The following is a 19793-nucleotide window of genomic DNA, read 5'->3' on the forward strand; positions in this document are numbered from 1 at the left end:
CAGGTGACCAGAGCATCATCCCAATAATTCACTTCCATTCCAGCCTTCATTGACATGCCCACCTGTAGCCACTTCACTCCTCTTTGTCGTGGTGTCCCATACTCTTCAAAACTAGGAAAGGATAAACGAACAGTGTGTGGCACCTCCAACATGCCAGGCACTACTGGGATGGTCACTTTTCAATTATCTTAATATCTTATCTCATTGAACCTTCCCACTAACTCTAAAGGTGGTGCTAAACCCATTGGACAGATGTGGAAGCAGCACGCCCAGCATCACAGAAATAATAAGTGGTGAAGCCGGGGTTAGAACTCAGAGCTCTTTTATTTTTTTCTTTTGAGACAGAGTCTCGCTCTGTCATCCAGGCTGGAGTGCAGTGGCGCGATCTCGGCTCACTGCAAGCTCCGCCTCCCAGGTTCACGGCATTCTCCTGCCTCAGCCTCCTGAGTAGCTGGGACTACAGGTTCGCGCCGCCACGCCCGGCTAATTTTTTGTATTTTTAGTAGAGATGGGGTTTCATCATGTTAGCCAGGATGGTCTCGATCTCCTGACCTCGTGATCCGCCCACCTCAGCCTCCCAAAGTGCTGGGATTACAGGCGTGAGCCACCGCGCCTGGCCAGAACTCAGAGCTCTTCAACACTAAAACTCATGCTCATTGTTGTACCAAGCTTCACAGGAACAGTTGGAGGATGGAAGTACCTAGAGATTTTAGCTGTCTGTAGTAGGGAACCAGGAAAAGAATATAATGGCAGCATTTTAAACTCATGGTGCCTACCTCTAGCCACTGAGTACTCTCTTCCTGAACATTCACTCTGCTTGTTCTCCAAGGGCCCAAGTAGGCCTTGCTGTGCTTCTACCAAACTCAGCATATCCTAAAATCATCCCTGCAAATCTCTTCCTTATTGCCACCAAGTCTCTGCACTCTAACTACCGCCATTACACAAAAGAAATGCCAACCACTGCGTTTCTTAAAATGCAGTGCCTTCCTGGCCAAAACAGCACCAGAACACAACAGAACCAAAATGCATGGATGGACAGCACCTGTTACCTTGCTAAAGACAGATGAGCATCTCACTGAGGCAGCTAAAGGCATAGACAGTTAACAGAGATGGAATATCTAAAATGTGCAGAGGGCCAAGCTTGGCAAGAAACATCCAAGTGCAGTTGGAAACAATGAACCCAATCCTGACTGATGTTAAGGCTCCTGGTGGACCCTATGCAGAACATTCTAAAACATCATTGTAAGGAAGCATGGTTACAATCTTACCCTCAAAACGAAAAAATACTATTTTCACAAAACAGCCTGGAATATTCTCTCTTCCTCCCATCTTTCCAGTGCTTTATCTCACCTCTTTCAGAAAACATTGCCTGATTACTCTCCATCCCCATTTCCTCTGATTGTAATGGTTTTCTCTGTACTGCAAGATCCTAAATCATCTCACTAGGAAGTGCCTCTGGACCCTGTGAAGGGTGCACAGAGCAGCTGAATCATTTCCACTCTCAGGATGGTGAGCCGCGCTGGGCAGACAGGAATAGCGAACCACATAAAAGATATAACTTGTTTGAAGGGCATGACAGAGTGCTGAGAGGAGGGAATTCCATTATGAAAGGCTTCAGGTAGGAGGCAGGACTCAAGTGCACTTCAGAGAGTGAGTTGGATTTCCCTAGAAGAAAATTGTATAAAGAGGGATGAAGACTTAGTAAGTGTTATGCGTTGAATTGTGTCCCCACTAAAAAAGATAGGTGGAAGTCCTCACCCACAGTAGCTCACAATGCATCCTTTTTTGGAAATAAGGTTGCTTCAGATGTGGTTAGTTAAGATGAGGCCATACCGGAGCAAGTGGGCCCCTGGATCCCATGTGAATGGTATCCTTATGAGAACACAGAGACACACACAGAATGTCATGTGATGAAAAAGGCAGACACTGGACTGCTGCAGCTGCAAGCCAAGAAACACCAAAGATTGCTGGCAAGCGACAAGAAGCTAGAAAGTGGCAAGGAAGGACCCCCTATGGGTTTCAGAGGGGATCTCGCCCTGAGGACACCTTAATTCCAGACATCCAGCCTCGAGATCTGCAAGACCACACATTTCAGTTGAAATTAATTTCAATACGTTTTTGCTACTATGAAGTTTGTGGTATTTTGCCAGGGCAGCCCCAGATGGAGAAGGGGACTGGAAGAAAGAGAGAAGCCAAGCTGTGGTGAAAGGAAACCACAGAACACGTTTAGGAAATGCCTTTCTCTGATCCTGCTGAAGACCTGTGTCCTACTTTACTCAATGGATGCATGGCACTGGAATGAGTTCACCTCCACATCCTCCTCTCTGCACCCAAAGCACTCTCCAGCTTCACCCTTCTTCTTTTGATCTTGTCTTTTAAAAGAAGGAGCTGTTTCTCCTTTCAAAGGCTAATTTTCTCATCTATAAACCTTATCCAATTATTCCCCACTCCTGTTGATCTCTTGCTCCAATAATTTCAAACTTTTGTTGTCTGCTGTGTAACCTAACTCCAGCCCTCTAATTTTTCTCCTTGAAAAGCAGCCTATACTTAGCTTCCTTTCCTCTGGCTGAATTATAATTTTGTCTTTCTCTTTTGTTTACAACTGTTGGAGTATAACATACCTGGGTATGTTTTTTTTTTGTTGTAATTATCCTGCCTGGTAACCCCCTGAGCCTCTCGGATCTGTAATTTGGTGTCTGTCATTACTTTGGGAAACTTCTCAGCCACCATTTCTTTAAATATTTTCCCATCTCTATTCTCTCTCTCCAGTCTCCTTCTGGAATTCCAATAAACTATATGTTAGACTGATTTTACCCCAGAGCTCTGAGGCGTTTGGTTTTATTCTTGTTTTTCCTTTTTAAAAATTTTTTCTCTTTGTGTTTTAGTTTGGGTAATTTCTATTAACTCATTCATTCTTGTGCATTGCCTACCTTTTCTATTAGAGCCTTTAGCTTATTAATCATAGTTATTTTAAGCCCCCTATCAGGTGGTTCCAACATCTGTGACATGTCTGAGTCTGGTCCCGATGACTGCTTTGTCTCCTGGGATATTTTTTTTTTTTTCTGTTTTCTAACTTTTAGTTTCAGGAGTACGTCTGCAGGTTTGTTATATGGGTAAATTGCATGTTGCAGGGGTTCAGTATACAGATTATTTCAATACCCAGGTAATAAGCGTAATACCTGATAAGTAGGCTTTTGATCCACATCCTCCTTCCATCCTCTACCCTCAAGTGGGCCCCAGTGTCTGCTGTTCTTTTCTTTGTATTCTTGTGTACTTGTATTAGTCCGTTTTTATGCTGCTGATAAAGACATACCTAAGACTGGGAAGAAAAAGAGGTTTAATTGGACTTATAGTTCCACATGGCCGGGGAAGCCTCAGAATCATGGTGGGAGGTGAAAGGTACTTCTTACATGGTGGCAGCAAAAGTAAATGAGGAAGATGCAAAAGTGGAAACCCCTGATAAAACCATCAGATCTCGTGAGACTTATTCACTACCACGAGAACAGTATGGGGGAAACTGCCCCCATGATTCAAATTATTTCCCACTAGGTCCCTCCCACAACACGTGGGAATTATGGGAGCACAATTCAAAATGAGATTTGGGTGGGGACACAGAGCCAAACCATATCAGTACTCAATATTTAGCTCCCACTTATAAGTGAGAACATATGGGATTTGCTATTCTGTTCCTGTGTTGGTTTACTTAGGATAATGTCCTCCACCTCCACCAATGTTGCTGCAAAGGACATGACCTCATTCCTTTTTATGGCTGCATAGTATTTCATGGTGTGTATGTACCACATTTTCTTTATCCAGTCTACTGTTGATGGTCATCTGGGTTGATTCCATGTCTTTGCTGTTGTAAATAGGGCTGTGATGAACATTTAGGTGCATGTGTCTCTATAATAGAACGATTTTATCTTTTTCTTGCCTTTTTGCATGCCTAGTAATTTTTATATTGAAAGTGTGGGAGAATAAAGATGGGGGTAAATACATTTTAATGCCTGGAAATGGGCACATCTTTCCTTCTGCTAGTTCTGCTAGGTGTCTAGTGTAAGGGTTTGAGTTGATCTAACTAGGAGTTGGGCTGACTTGGAGGTTTGTTGTCTCTGTGGTTACTCTCAGTGACCTGCCAGCCTCACATTCCTCTAGTGATACCCTGTGTTCAGGGCAAGGGCTGATTGCCAAGTCTATTTTCCAGTGACTGCTGCACTCTCAGACTTCAGTCTTTCCTGTGCACCATGTCTCAGAGAAAGTCTCTTTCCTGCATATTACTTGTCAATCCATGCTTGTCAGCCTTGTAGTAGGGAATGAGGGTCGGAGGTTGTTCTCTTATTCTGATTAAGCCTCAGTCTTGGGCAGGCAGTTTATCCCCAGAAACCAAGGAAATGGCATTTTCAGTGATCCTGCCAATCCTTCAATAATCCCGCCCTTTCCTCTAACACAGTCCTGAATCTAGCTTGTAATCTTGCTCCCGTCCCAAAATAAAGCTTTTGTCTTCTAGGGGAGACACAGGGGGAAAGTCATACGCCAACTCCCCTCCCTCCATGCTCTGAGCACCGCCTTTGTACCTCTCTCTGTGCACTCGGCATATCCTGTGTGGTAGGGAGTATACTTCTAAATATACTTTATCTTGCCTAATAGAAGATATGATCTTCCTGTGTTGTCAATCTTGGCTTTTTATTACATATTTGTTCTATACATGGTTTATCTTTTATCTCAACCAAAACCATTTCTTCTTTGATAATACAGTACAAACTTTTCCCTTTTTAAAAAAAAAATATATTTCCAGCTGGGCACAGTGGCTCATGCCTGTAATCCCAGTACTTTGGGAGGCTGAGGCAGACAGATCACTTGATGCCAGGAGTTCAAGGCCAGCCTGGCCAACATGGTAAAACCCTCTCTACAAAAAAAAAAAAAAAAAAAAAAAAAAAAAATTAGCCAGATGAGGTGGTGCACACCTATAATCCCAGCTACTCAGGAGACTGAGGCATGAGAATCACGGGAACATGGGAGGCAGAAGTTGTAGTGGGCCAAGATCGTACCACCGCACTCCAACCTGGGTGACGGAGTGAGACTTTTTCTCAAAAAAAAAAAATTAATATTTCCCTTTTGCAATTTCTTATACTTCCTTCAACCTCCAAATACACAAATAGCATAGAGAATTAAAGTTGACCTCATCCTTTTCTGCAAGTTCTCCAAATAGAGTTATAATTATATATGACTAAGGGTCTGCAATCCTACACTAGAGCCACAGCTCCCCACTCAGTTGTTGCATGGCATTAGGCAAAGGACTTAAACTTCTAAGCCTTAGTGGGGATAAACGAGGCAAAAATTCATATTTAATTCACAGGATTGCTGTGAAAACTAAATGAGATAATGCATGTGATAAGCACTATGCAGGTGTTAGTTTCTTGTAAAATTATCATTTTAAGAAATAGTTGCTTTTGGCAGAGAGGAGGAATGGAATTAACTTTTACTGAGTCCTACGCACAATGCTCAGTGCCTCTGCAGTCTCCATCTTAGTGAAGCCACACCAGTTAAAAGGCATATGTATTATCATTAACCTCGTGTGACAGAGGCAAGGTGCAAACAAGTTCCTTTGTCACCACTGACATAGCCTATGTAGCTGTGAACTATTACTTTCTTCTTATGACTGCAGAAAATATCTTCTGTGGAGTACAGACACATAACATAGCCACACCAAAAGGTTACTTAGGAAGGTGGTAGACAAGTAACCTTCCAAAGCAGTGAATTCACCACCAAGCCTTGAGACTCCACATGTTCAGCTATACAGGTTTTGACAAATGCAATGAGTCATGTATCTACCACCACAGAACCATAACGAATGGTCCCACCACTCCAGAAATTCCCTCATGCTGCCCCTTTATGTGGTTTAGACATTAAGATAGAATCAAACAGCTAATACGCCCTATTCGGGTCTCCGGTTCCCAGGACCCACTGCCCTGAGCTCCTGAATGGGACTCAGTTTAACAACCCCAGCTTGGTTGTCCAGTGACTGTGAACCCATAGCTTTTTTCTGTAGGTTATGTTCTGCAAGACTAGAGACTATTTTTAGTTTCTTGCACTGTAACCCTAGTCTTGGCTAGGCTCAGGCACTGTAACCCTGGTCCAGGCTAGCCTCAGGCACTGCAACCCTAGTCTAGACTAGTCTGCGGCATTGCTAACCTAGTCTAGGCTAGCCTCAGGCACTGCTCAGAGGCAGGCACCAAGGATCCACAGGCCAAGATGCCCTATAACTACCCCTGCCCCATCCACCATCCGCCATCAAGCCATCGCAGGGCTGGGCATCATGGGCTGGGGCCTCTGCAGACTTTCTCCTTGGGGCCCAGAGTCCCTTTTTATGATACCTAAAAGGTCCAAAGCATAACAGGCCTTCTTTTTGAGACAGAGTCTCATGCTGTCACCCAGGCTGGAAGGCAGTGGCACAATCTCAGCTCACTGCAACCTCTACCTCCCAGGTTCAAGTGATTCTCCTTGCCTCAGCCTCCCAAGTAGCTGGGATTACAGGTGCCTGCTGCCACACCCCTCTAATTTTTGTATTTTTGTATTTTTAGTAGAGATGGGGTTGTACCATGTTGGCCAGGCTAGTCTTGAACTCCTGAACTCAAGTGATCCACCCACCTCAGCCTCCCAAAGTGCTGAGTTTACAGGCGTGAGCCACCGAGCCTGGCCACAGGCTTTCTATTTCTCCTCCATTTTCCTATTTAAAAACTAGAAGCCAAAGATTGAATTTGCACAGTTCTTATGCTATAGCAACAAAACGCACAGTTGCAGCAAGTGAATCTGTGTTTTTAAAACACATTCTCTTTTCTTTTTTCTTGCCATCAATGTACTGTTTCTATTTCATATGAACTGATAATTATTATATGCAATGCTTTCCCATCATGAACACTTAGTCATTTTTTAAAAACATTGCTTTGATCATGTCACTTCCCCGGCCCAAAACATTACCCAGTTTGCAGTTGTTTGCCATTTAGCCATCTCTAAATCCACCCAAATTGCCTCCCATGCCTCCCACACACAAAGCTCTGCTCTGGCCAAACAGGACTTATTTGCATCCACTCTACCCTTGCCTCTTCTGCAAGGATCACCACGACCGTGAAGCCCTCTCAGACCACAGGAATGAACTTCCTCTCTCATCTGGATTCCTGTAACCCAAATTCCCCATCATGCTAAGATGTCCTGACGTATTATGGCTATTAACATACGCCCTGCAAGATCTCTCACCGTTGTAAAGAGTTAAGCTTCCCTTAAGTAACCATCTATCTCTGTCTTGTAGACACTGCGAACTGTGTAACAGAGTCTTTCCCTCCACCTGCTGACTGCTAAAACCTGAGAGCTAAATTTGTACCCTATTTCTACGAAGTACACAGGACCTGATACCACACATATACAATATACACATACACTATACAAAACAGTAACTTATACTTCAACCCTGGCTCAAATTATCACTTCCCATCCTTGTTTTCTCTTGGACTCATTTGTCTTTCTGATTTATATTTTATCTTGCCACATTGCATGCATTTTTTTGGAAGGTAGGATGAAAGTGAGTGAGAAAAAGCTAGAATTCTTTCCCATGCCTGGCACAGACTCCCTGTACTCCCTGTGATGCGAGGTTGACAAGTGGATCTTCTTATGCCGATATTTGTCATTATCTAAGGGGTATGTCTGGAAATAGGCACACATTCTTCAATCTGTCTCTGTTATGACCAACCAAAACTCAGGAGGCCTCAGAACCTGGGTACATTAAACATCACAAAGGTCTTGATGTAGGAATCTCCCATCGTTTTCAGAAAAAAACAACAAGACAATGGATGCCAGGAGCTAAATGTCCAAAATAGTTGTGTGATGATGGTAGGAGCAAATCAGCAAAAAATCCCTGTGTTGTTTCTTACTGGGATTCTAGACCTTGATCTTCCCCTCTTGGTATAAAGCTTCACGTCCACAGTTAAAGCCACTCATTCTGCAAGTGTCTGTCTGAGTCATTTCTACGTGGGAGGATGCCAGACAATGCCAGCTGCCTACATTCACCTCTCTTCTTTATGAGTAGCACCCCAATTTTGCTCCAGGCAGCCATACATTCTTCCTCATGAGAAAACAACAATGAAAAAACACCTCCCTCGCCTAGATCCCCTGCAGCTAAGTATTGCCACATGGCATACTTCTGGCCAGTGAGACATAAGCTGAAGCTCACTAGTTAGGGTCTTCCAAGAAAGCTATCATTTTTCTAATAATAGAAGGAGCACACTAGGCTGGCTCATCCCTTTTGACCTCACTTTTTGCCCTTTAGACTTCCTGGAAGGTGGATGTAATCACAGAGGTACAAGAGCCATTTTGCAAACCTGAGAATGATGAGAAAGGCAGAGGAGAAAGCTAAAGGGCACTGGTGACATGGAAGAGCCACTGTGCCAGTCTGGAGCCACTACCCCTGTCCTTCTCCTAGCACAAGAGAAGTGAAACCCCGCAATTCATGCCAGCATTTTAGGTTTTCCATTACAGGCAGCCAAAGTCAATCCCTAGTGATGTAGGGAGGCAGCGTGCTTAATAATAAGAGAGATAAATAAGACGCGATCCCAGTCCACACATGGTTCTCATGTATCAGGGAGAGATAAGAAACTCGGAGGAATAATCATAAAGCCTGATGGACCATGACAAGCACATAAGCCATAGCTGGGGTGCTCAAAAGAGTTCAGAGGAGGGAGAAATGGCTTCTAGCTAAAAGCATTTAAATTGGGCCACTTCACACTAAAATATCACATTTATCCTACCTGGAGAGACACTGTTCAATCCAAGAGAATCAACCTCTCCTGGTAGAACTGTATGCATTACATGTCTTGGGAGGTAGTTTCGAGGAGTGGCTCCCTTCCCCGGACAGGGCTAAGGAGTGTGGCTGTGCCAGGCGTGGCATGGGAAGACATCATGCTGATTCTCTCTCTCCACCCTCCCTCCCCTCTACCTCCCATCCACTTGCTTGTTCTCAGAGCCCAAAAGGGAAAAAGCTTTCCTCCATCGCTCTCTGGATGACTCTGGTGCTGCTGGCTCATGCCCAAGAATGTCCTGGCCAAGCAGCATCCCAGAGGAGGGTTTTGGTTGCATGTTTTAAAACATCACAACGAAGCCCCTGATGAAGAATCTGAGCCAGATACCTGTCCCCAAGGGGGCCTGCTGAAGTGGTAAGGACGGCCCTGTGCAGAGGCCCTGAGACCTCAGATCTCATCTCCTATAGGAGCTGCACAGCCAGGACAGAGAAGAAAACACACACTGGGTTTTAAAGCACTGTTTCCCGGACCACACTAGGTGACAATAAACATGAGATCCAAGAATCAGTGACCAAACAGTATAGCCAGCCCTCTCCTTTTCTGCTGGAATTCAGTCACCTTGAAATGTTCCCCATTGGGTTCTCAGTTCAAGGCTCATACCCCAGAACCACATTGGAGATATCTGCCAGATTTTTCTCTTGAGTCCTAGTCCTGTCACCACCATTTCCAAAACCTGCTGTGAACAACATCCCGGAGACTGTGAAACTGATCTCCAGGCCCATGCAACAAGCCCAAGTCCCCAGCCAAGACCTCAAGCCCTCTGCCTACTCCACCCACCATGTATAGAAGGATTCTAATCAACAAAGTACAGAAATCACTGTTTGCACTCTGAAATCTGCAACTTCAAAAATATTTTACCCAAAACACATAGGCACAGACAACAACACATGAGACACGATCCTAGTCCGCACATGGTTCTCATGTATCAGGGGGAGATAAGAAACTCGGAGGAATAATCATAAAGCCTGATGGACCATGACAAGCACATGAGCCATAGCTGGGGTGCTCAAGAGAGTTCAGAGGAGGGAGAAATGGCTTCTAGCTAAAAGCATTTAAATTGGGCCACTTCACACTAAAATACCACATTCCATGACAAACACAGAATTCTGTCTGTCATGGAAAATGTTAAATTTGAAAAGACCGCCAAAGTCTTCTCATCATATCACATACTTGAGAAATATCACGCATTATGCTGAGAACACATTTATGCCTAATGAACTGCACGATATATGCAAATTAAAACATGCTAATTGGCTTTAGCTGTTCCTTTACATAAAGTCAATACTTCTATGGATCATTAAATGTATTCCTTTCATATTAATTTCAAAAGAAAAATTAATTGCTAAAAAAACAAATTCCCAGGTGTAGCCAATGTAAAGATTCAAATCTAAAATGTTGCTACAGTAAAACATTTACTGTGTCAGCTCCCAATACCTAGTAAGTCTTCGACTCAAGCAAAAAAAAGAAATTTCATATTGAATTTTTTTTTCTGTGATTTAAAACTGATTAATTCATGTTGGTTTAAATTCAATAGAAACCTTTTGCTTACATTTCAAATTTGTTTAAAATAAGCATTTAGTTATCTATCTTTTTTTCCTAATTAGATGAGAAAAAGAACATTAAAACCAAGAAGGAAGCAAAAGAAATTGGCGCTTGAGACCGCCCTGCCTCTCCCATTGACTGCTCTCTCCCCTAAAATGTACACAGTATAGTGTATGGCACATAAAGGGCCTCCATCAGTATTTTTTATTTAAATAAATGAATTAATCGATTAGCTTTTTGCAATGTTTTATGATGCCTTTAGCTAATTAAAATTAAAATAATAGTTATAATTTCTTGGATGCTTACTTTCTGCCAGGTACCCTACAATGTAGGTGTTCTCTTCAGTTTCCAGATACAAAAACAGAGGCCCAGCAAAGTCAACTCAAATAGGTATTAGGTTTCAGAGCCAAGATGCAAATCCAGGTCTGGCCACAAAAGTCAACACCATTTGCACATGGTCTCCCCAGCCTAGGGTCATGGGTGGTTACTGGAGAAGGGGACAGATGGGAGCATGTGGTCCACCAAATTCAATCCAGCTGGCCACTCTGCAGGGGACCTCACAGCCCTGGCGCATTGACCAGAGTCATGGATGGGCACTGGCCTTGCACTCTCACCGAGGGCAGGGTCATCCCTCGGAGAGACTCACATTAACCAAGCCCAAAGTGCTGGGTATGACTACAGCACCAGCTCCTCTTTTGCAATAGGAATTAACATGTTGGGGACCAGTATATTCTCCCCAGGTAGCAAGATCTGCAACAGGTAAAGCCCAGCAAATATCAGAACGTTGTTGGGAAAACCAAAACAGAAGCAAGTACAACGATTTCCCAAATGTTTTCAGGGCAACTAGGCTATTTGGATTTCCTTGGCTGTCACTACTACCTGCCACCGATCTTTATTCTAGGGACAAAGATTAGATAAGTGATTCCAAAGTCTCAAGATTCTCCCTTTTCAATCATCTCCACTTTTTAGAGCAAGCCTCCTCTATTTGTATATGCTAATTTATTTTCTCAGATTACCCTCAAGCCTCTGTCCTGGGAAATCTTCACCTTATTTTGGGCTCTGGCCCAAAGACCCAACGGATTGATACTAAAATTTAAGATCAGTCTTATTTCCCTTATTTTCAAGCCCTTATATTTGAAGGAACTTATATTTGGGGTATACACCCAAATAAATGAAAACAATATCATATGTGTGTGTTTAATATTGTTAACGTGCTAACGAAAGACAAGTGGGCCGTAATAGAAACCCAAAACATCTTGAGGTGCGGATTCTTAGAAAGTGTAATTACACTTACATCATGTAAAATGTCACATCACTTTCACGTTATTCAAATGCAAGGTACCATTCTGAAAAAAGAATAAATCAGTGTTTGCCACAAACCACATGACTAGTTGACTTTGTTAGTTGTCAGGATATCAAAAGAAGAAAAAGGGAATGGAATTTATAAAATGATCCACTAAGGAACGGAAGTTGCTGGGACAGAGACATAAGATGAAGGCATGAAGAGGAAGGCACAGCAACAGGTTTGCTTTCTGGTACAAGGACACAGAGGTCATGGCTAGTTCCTCCCACACTAGGATGTACTTTTTGGAAAAAGTGCCTCCTTTGAAAAGCTTATAATGAAGTCTAGTGATACATTGCACCATTTGATGGTACCGTACATGAGAAAATGCTAAAAACACTCTGGAAAATGCAAGTGGCTATATTACAATCTGTAGACAGTCCTGGTCCCAAATTCAAATGAAAATATAAACAGTTTGCTTGAAAACAGAGCTCTGACCTATAGTTCCCTGCTTAACCAAAGGGTCTATTTTTAAAGATTAGGAAACTTTTTTCAATCAATAGAAGTAGTAACATATTACCATTTATTTCAAGGAGGGGAGGCCTCAAATCTCTCATTTCGAAAACCCTAGGATTTTCTGGCTCTCAGATTTGTGCCTAAATCCTCCCTAAAGTAGAGATTTTGTATAAAATCTCCATGCTGATTTTCCAATATCCAATAAGCTGAGCACGAGTTGTCCAGGAAAGCAAGACCACCGCTGCCCAGCAGCACATTTGTATCAGTTTCCCAGGGCTGCGACTACAAACTACCTCAAACCTGGCAGCCTAAAACCACCCAAGTGTATCATCTTAAAATGCTGGAGGTCAGAAGTCCAAAATGCATCTCACTGGGCTAAAATCTAGGGCTCAGGAGAGCTGCATTCCCTCTGGAGGCTCTAGGAGAATCTATTTCTTTGCTTTTTCCAGTGTCCAGAAAATCCATTTCCATGCCTTTTCCAGAGGCTGTGGTTGGTGGCTCCTGAATCCATCTCCAAAGCCAGCAATGGCTGGCTGAGTTTTTCTCACACGGCATCACTTTGGTTCTCTGCCTTCATCACCACCTCTCTTTCTCTGATTCTTTCAAGAAGTCTGTGATACTGAACCCACCCAGATAACCCAGGATAATTTCTCCATCTCAAGATCCCTCCCTTCATCACATCAAACTCCCTTTTGCTGCATATAATAACAGATTACAATGACAAGGATTAGGACATGGCCGCCTTTGGGAGACCATTATTCTGCCTGCTGTTGCACCCTCAGCTAATACATAAGGATTCACAAGATACAACGAAGGTGCAATGAAGTCAATACAAGTTGCAAATAGAAATCTGTTCTGCTCAGATACTTGAGTCCCACAGCCTTGTGGGTTTCATGCACAGACACAGTGCATCCTCTGCGTGTTGTTGCCATGTGTCATGACCTTTCAGGGAGAGTGGAGTGGGAAACACAGAGTGCCACATGTGCTTGGTGGCCCCGCATTCTCTTCTTTGGCTGGTGATGGATGACTATCCACCATCCCACGTAAGCAGAGAGCTGCGCCCTCAGCATCTCTGAGAGCCCTGCTGCCCCTGATCTCTCCTCCCTGGCTTCATTGTGGCTGTCTGACTCATGAGCTCCAACCTTGCTCCTGCCCATGCCTCCATCTACTCATCTCTAACTATTGCTGTTTAACCTGATGCAGGGTTCATCCTTACCCAAAAAAACTACAGAAGATCAGAAGTAAGCACCGAGTCTCCCTCTGACACTATGGATAACTGTCCATTTTCAGGCAGGTGCGGAAGTCCAAGGCACTAAGCCTTGGCGAGCGCTTTGCTAGTGCAGCCCACCCTCCATTCTAAAGAGATGGCTGAGTTTTGGAAGGCATAGCTATAAGAATCTGCGTCCTGGCTGCCCAAGGCAAGGGGGCACCCAGTGTGGCTCTGGAAAGTAGCTTGGTAAATAAGATGGAACCCAATGCATAAAAATACCTGAATTTCATTAAAGACTTCACCTTTTTTCTTTTTTCTTTTTTCTTTTTTTTTTTTTTTTGAGATGGAGTTTCACTCTTTTTGCCCAGTCTGGAGTGCAGTGGCGTGATCTCGGCTCACTGAAACCTCTGCCTTCCGGTTTCAAGCGATTCTCCTGCCTCAGCCTCCCTAATAGCTGGGATTACAGAAGGCCACCACCATGCCCAGCTAGTTTTTGTATTTTTAGTAAAGACGGGCTTTCATCATGTTGGCCAGGCTGGTTTCGAACTCCTGACCTCGTGATCCACATGACTCAGCCTCCCAAAGTGCTGGGATTACAGGAGTGGGCCACCAAAGCCTGTAAAGCCTGGCCAAAGACTTCACTTTTTTAGAGCAGTTTTAGGTTCACAGCAAAATTGAAAGGAAGATACACAGATTTCCCATATACCCTCTACCCCCAACACATACACAGCCTCCCCCATTACTCACATACCCTAGCAGAGTGGTGCATTTGTTACACTTGAACTTACATGGACACATCATTATCACCCAAAGTCCATAATTCAGGCTTCACTCTCGGTATTGTACATTCTATGGGTCTGGACAAATGTACAATGACATGGAGCCACAATTATAGTATCATTCAGAGTAGTTTCACTTAAAATCCTCTGTGTTCTGAAGGCTTAAATTTTTTTGCAAAGTCTCTGTGGCCATATTACCTAGGGAAAGTCATGCGGCCTTGAATTTCCTAACAAAATACTGATAATTCTGCCTGCATCGCCTGTATATTGGAAATAATATAAGCTCCATGTATTTGGATAAAAAAGTTATTGTAAATAGTTACAGACTTTAAGATAAGTTAACATTAAATTTTAAAACAATAATATATAGAGCCTTTGATAAATGAAATAGCCCTATGGTTCTAAAATGATACGTAATTAAAAAAACATGTTTATGACACAAAAAATTGTTAACTACCTTGATAAATACAGAACATTCATACAATCTAATATTATACAACTACTGTTGTGAAATGAAAAAATATTCATTTTTATGTTTTTGTTTTCATGTTTACTTTTTGTTTCTTTTCCTTTGTATAGCTGACAAAAATTGTACACATTTACAGAGTACAACATGATGTTTTGATACATGAATATATTGTAAAATGGTTAAGTCAAGCTAATTAACATATCATCACCTCACATGCTTATCATTTTTGGTGGTGAGAACATTTAAGATCTACTCTCTCAGCAATTAAAAAAGATACAATACACTATTATTAACTATAGTCACCATGTACAAATATTTTTAGAATGAGTATAAAGTCATATGAACAATATAATACTGACTATGAAAAAAATATACTAGAAGACAATGGAAGGAAAACATCAAACTTTGGCAGAAATTTCCTCTGGATAGCAAGTATATCCGTTAAAAATCATTAGTGGCAAACAACAGGAACGGATTCTGACTAACTTCAACAAAAGGGGTTTTATTAGGACACTGAGAGCTCAGAGGACTGAAAGCTGAGGAGCCACACCTGTGAGTCAGTGAGAACTAAGGCAGTTCTAGAAGCTTCTAGACAGCAACCTTAGGAACATCCTCATACAGAGTTACTAGTCAAGGTGCCACTTCCAGGAATGAATAAACTCCAGCACTTTTATTCCCCTCAAAATTCAAATCCCTGGGAAGAAGCTTGCTATTGGTCCAGCCTGGGTCACACATCCATTCCTGGGGCTGAGGGAAGGCACCCGACCTGCTTTTCAATCACACCAGACTTTCCTTATCGGGAAGAGATGTGATTCCCCAAAAGGAAATCAGAGGGCTTATGGAAAGGAGTGGATGATGAGCAGCATGAAGGAGAAAAAAAATGTCCAGTGGAATTAGGAGTGACTTCTCCCTTTAACTATTTTCTTTAGTTGACAGGCTGCACCTAGTAATTACAAAATTGTGTTTTGTTTTGTTTGATTTGGTTTGGTTTGGTTTGGTTTGGTTTGGTTTGGTTTTAGACAGGGTCTGGCTCTATCACTCAGGCTGGAGTGCAGTGGTATGATCACGGCTTTCACTGCAACCTCCACCTCCCAGGCTCAAGTCATCCTTCCAACTCAGCTTCCCAAGCAGCTGAGACTACAGGCGCGTGTCATCACAGCTGGCTAAATTTTTGTATTTTGTGTAGAGATGGGGTTTCAACATGTTGCCCAGGCTGGTCTCGAACTCCTGGGCTGAAGCGATCCAACCGCCTCAACCTCCCAAGGGATTATAGGTGTGAGCCACTGCAATTGGCCACAAATTGTTTCTATCAAGACGGTGATATTCTCCTTTTTGGTCATGGTTGATGGTTGCCCATCAAAATGTGTCCTCCCTTTTTCCCTAACACCATGGCTGGGTGACATTTCCCATCCTTCCTGACACGTAGGTATAACCCTGGGACCAAGGTGGGCCTCAGTTGTCTCCAGTGGAAAGTTAGCAAAAGTCCTGCCTCTGCCCTGAGGCCTCCTAGGCCTGCTCACCTGGAATGCTCCCCTCAGACCACATGAGAGGGAAATAAACATATATTTCCTTAAACAACTAAAATTATTGCTGAGTCTCTTTAAGAGACTAGCCTTATCTTAATAGAGCAGCAAGATGTCATTCCAAGTGCGACTGGAGTTCTACGCGCGATGCTCTGAGAGGCTGTGTCATGTAATGATTAAGAACCCACACTCAGGGACCAGGCTGCCAGGGCTTAAATCTGGGCTCCAGCACTTACCAGCAGCATGACCTGGGCAAGTCATTTAGACATTCGGTGCCTCCGTTTCCTCATCTGTAAAATCTCGTAGGGTTGTTATGAGGATTAAGAAAATTCTTCTATGTAAAATCTAACTGTGACTCACACAAAGGAAACACTATGATAATTTCTACATGATTCAAAAGAAGTAGGCTCATTTTTCCACAGCCACGGTTTAACAATTTTTATGGAAAAAATTAACACATCTACAGGTCAGCTCTAAAAATAAAAAGTGAATAAGAATGCAGGCTAAAATATCAAGCATTCTTTGTGCAATAGAAATTATTAATGCTACATACAGTAAGAAGGATCTGTTTGAGAAGCTCAAAGAAATGCTTCAACTCACTGGTGTGAGCTGAAGATAGAATTTCATTTTAAACTCTTCTATTTCAGGGTTCTGTGAGTTTAGGTCAGACTTATAATCCTATTTGCACAGACTTGTTCTAATCTGAGTACACACGCACACACACTCTCATTGATTTCCAGGCCACATGTTCATTCCACATTTCAGCCCACGATTTATGCAGTTGTAGGAATAAAGTACTATTCATTCAATGCAGAGGCACGCTGCCTCTGCATAAAAAGGTGGCTTGTTAATTCATTTCTCGAGTTTTAATACTTTCTTAGAATTTCTACCAAAAATTCTCGAACATTTTTAGGTGTGTATGACTGCACTGTGGAAAAAAATGGTAACCTTTTCCTCAACCCCCAAAAGGCGTAACTCACCCACCTTTGGCATAAGACCTTTGAGAAGGTGAAATTAAAATAAAATTGTCCTTCAAGCAGGCAGTCTGATTTCTAAGGAGCTATGGGTTACAAATATGTTACTAAACAAGTTTACTAAGGGAAAATTTTCAAAGGTTCCTACTGTTTTTTAAGCTGATATATTTCCCCAAGGAAATTATCACAAATTTCCTATTATTTCTTCTCACAAAATATTCCGTGGATAAGTCCTTAACAATATAAACCAGTTAAATGTGACCTACTAGATACAACTAAGTGAAGACTGAAATGCACCATTGTTGTAAGGAAAGAAAGTCATGTCTTTTGAAAATTAATACATACACTCAGAAGTCTCTGAGCACATTAAACCAAAGGAATTAAATAATGGAGTTAAGAAGGACTCTCAGCTCACTCTAATACTTGCTTATTCATTTGTTTGTTTGCTTGCTTACTTGTTAAGTGATTGCGTGTATATTTGCAGACAGTGCTCACATGCAAACTAGCAACCATTCCTATGCATGGTTCCTCATTCCTCTAAGGGTAGAATTTAAGACCAATGGGTGGAAGCTGTAAAACACTTCCAGATTGAGCCATACAGATGCAGAATGGTCTGCCTTGTGAAGTAGTGAGTTTGCTGTCCCAGGAGTATTCAAACACAGACCGGACAACCTGGGATGCTGTAGAGAGGTTTCAAGGATCAGAGGGCTAGTTAGAGTAGATACAGGTTCCTTTTAACTTAGAGAGCCTAGGACCTCACCAAGGCCAATTGAAAGGCTTTAATTCATTTCATTTTGATCTAACATTGTTTTTCTCCTGCACTTCCTGGCCCAGAAATAATCTGCCACAGAAGACATGGAGAACATGCTACGAATGCCACAAGAATGCCCTTCCCCCTCATTTATCCTCTGCTTTGACCACACAGAGAAGGGTGGTCCCATATGACCTTGAGCCTGGAGGATTCCTGGGCTCCACAGCAGTTAGAAGGAAGAGCTGAACGGGGTCCCATGAAGAAGTTCCCATCCTCCTTTACTGGGGAACTGTCACCTTTTTGTGAGAAAGCATCATTTTTCATTTCCCCAGCACCTTCAGCTCTCAGCAAGAGAAATCAGCTCACCAGCAGAAGTAGGGTGCTGATGTCACCTGCCATTCCATGTTCAGAGGGAGCGATCTCAGACAAAGGGTGACAGTGGAGCCCACCAGACTAGAGACCTTTACAATCTTACTGATAGCGCCCATGCAATGTTTCAAGATCCCCAATCTATAATCACGACTCTCATCTGCCTGAGTTACAGAAAAGCAGAAAGCTCATTCCTTGAGAAATGCAAAGTCAAAATCACATTAAAAGCCATCACACTCCCTTCTTTACACTCAATGTCCCCGTTCCTAAATCAGAATGCTCAGAACCAACCAAGAGATCATGAAGACCAAGATAGAACAACACTCGGGGAATAGGACACGTAGCTCCCTGGCTGGCTGCGGTGGGATTTGAAAATGCGGCCACTAACAGAATTTGCACACTGCAGGACTCCTAGTCAAGCTGCTAATAAAGAAATTGCTTATGCTAGGTGACTAAAAATGTTCTGTATTGTTAAACTGGTATTATGTCCATGCTGAGGTTGGAATTATGATGTTTAAGTGGCCTGCTATTCTGAATGGACTTTTTCCAATAAAGAAAAATGTACTTAAGGATAAGCAAAAAAGTATGTAAGGTGAACCCACCGGAAGGAATAACTAGGCCATCATTCTCAGCTGCCTGCTGTCTGTCGTTGTGTGCAGAGCTACAGGGGTGATGCCCACCTCCCAGGTGACAGCCACCCCTCCCAGGTCCATCCAGTGACGGAGTTGCCTGGCTCCTGGATAGGAGCGAAATGGCCCCTGATCATCCCTCTGACTGTGTTCTTAGAGTAGAATGTCCTTTAATAAGTCCCTGGTATTTGTCAGTAACACTGAAATAGCTCTCTTGTGTTCCATCACTCTAATCATCTTGCAAACCAGACTCCAATGGCCACTGGCCAGAGCTGAAACCAGCTCTCCCTGCCCCAAGCTTGGGCAGAACAGAATGCGTCCTCCTGCATTCTTCATGCCACGAGGACAGCTGGCAAACACCCTGGGAGGAGAGGTGGGGAACTCCTTGAAGCGTCAGAGAATGGAGAATTAACCAGGACAGGGATCCCCACTGGAATTAGGGGGTGTGAGGCTCTGTGAAAGAAAAGGAATCATGAGCCTAAACAGCTGCTAAAGATGGCTGTTTCCTGACATATCATCTTACAACCTAAAACCTGAGAAACTTGTGACGCCACTTTTTCATAATGCAACTCCATTAGGCTCACTCAAACACAGCACCTCCAAACAACCAGCAATAAAAATAAGCTCCTTGGCCAGCCGCAGTGGCTCATGCCTGTAATCCCAGCACTTTGGCAGACTGAGGCAGGCGGATCACCTAAGGTCAGGAGTTCGAGGCCAGCCTGGCCAACATAATAAAACTGTGTCTCTACCAAAAATACAAAAATTAGGCAGGCGTGGTGGCCCATGCCTGTAATCCCAGCTTCTTGGGAGGCTAAGGCACGAGACTCCCTGGAACCCGGGAGGTGGAGGGTGCAGTGAGCCGAGATTACACCACTGCATTCTAGCCTGGACGAGAGCGAGACT

The 19793-nt window shown here is 43.1% G+C and overlaps 1 protein-coding gene across 34 annotated transcripts in view; it reads right to left on the minus strand.

The window, feature by feature from the left end:
• CSGALNACT1 (chondroitin sulfate N-acetylgalactosaminyltransferase 1) overlaps positions 1–19793 on the minus strand; it is a 353748-nt gene that overhangs the window by 307545 nt on the left and 26410 nt on the right. For 5 of the 34 annotated variants that reach the window (NM_001354475.2, XM_047421965.1, NM_001354484.2 and 2 more), the window contains one exon: positions 3180–3319. The exons of the other annotated variants lie outside the window; for them this stretch is intronic. The gene's annotated coding sequence lies outside the window, so the exon portion shown is untranslated. The remainder of the gene's footprint in view (positions 1–3179; positions 3320–19793) is intronic. 34 annotated transcript variants of the gene reach the window in all.

This window comes from Homo sapiens, chromosome 8 (assembly GCF_000001405.40).
Source record: "Homo sapiens chromosome 8, GRCh38.p14 Primary Assembly".
Lineage (NCBI taxonomy): Eukaryota > Metazoa > Chordata > Mammalia > Primates > Hominidae > Homo > Homo sapiens.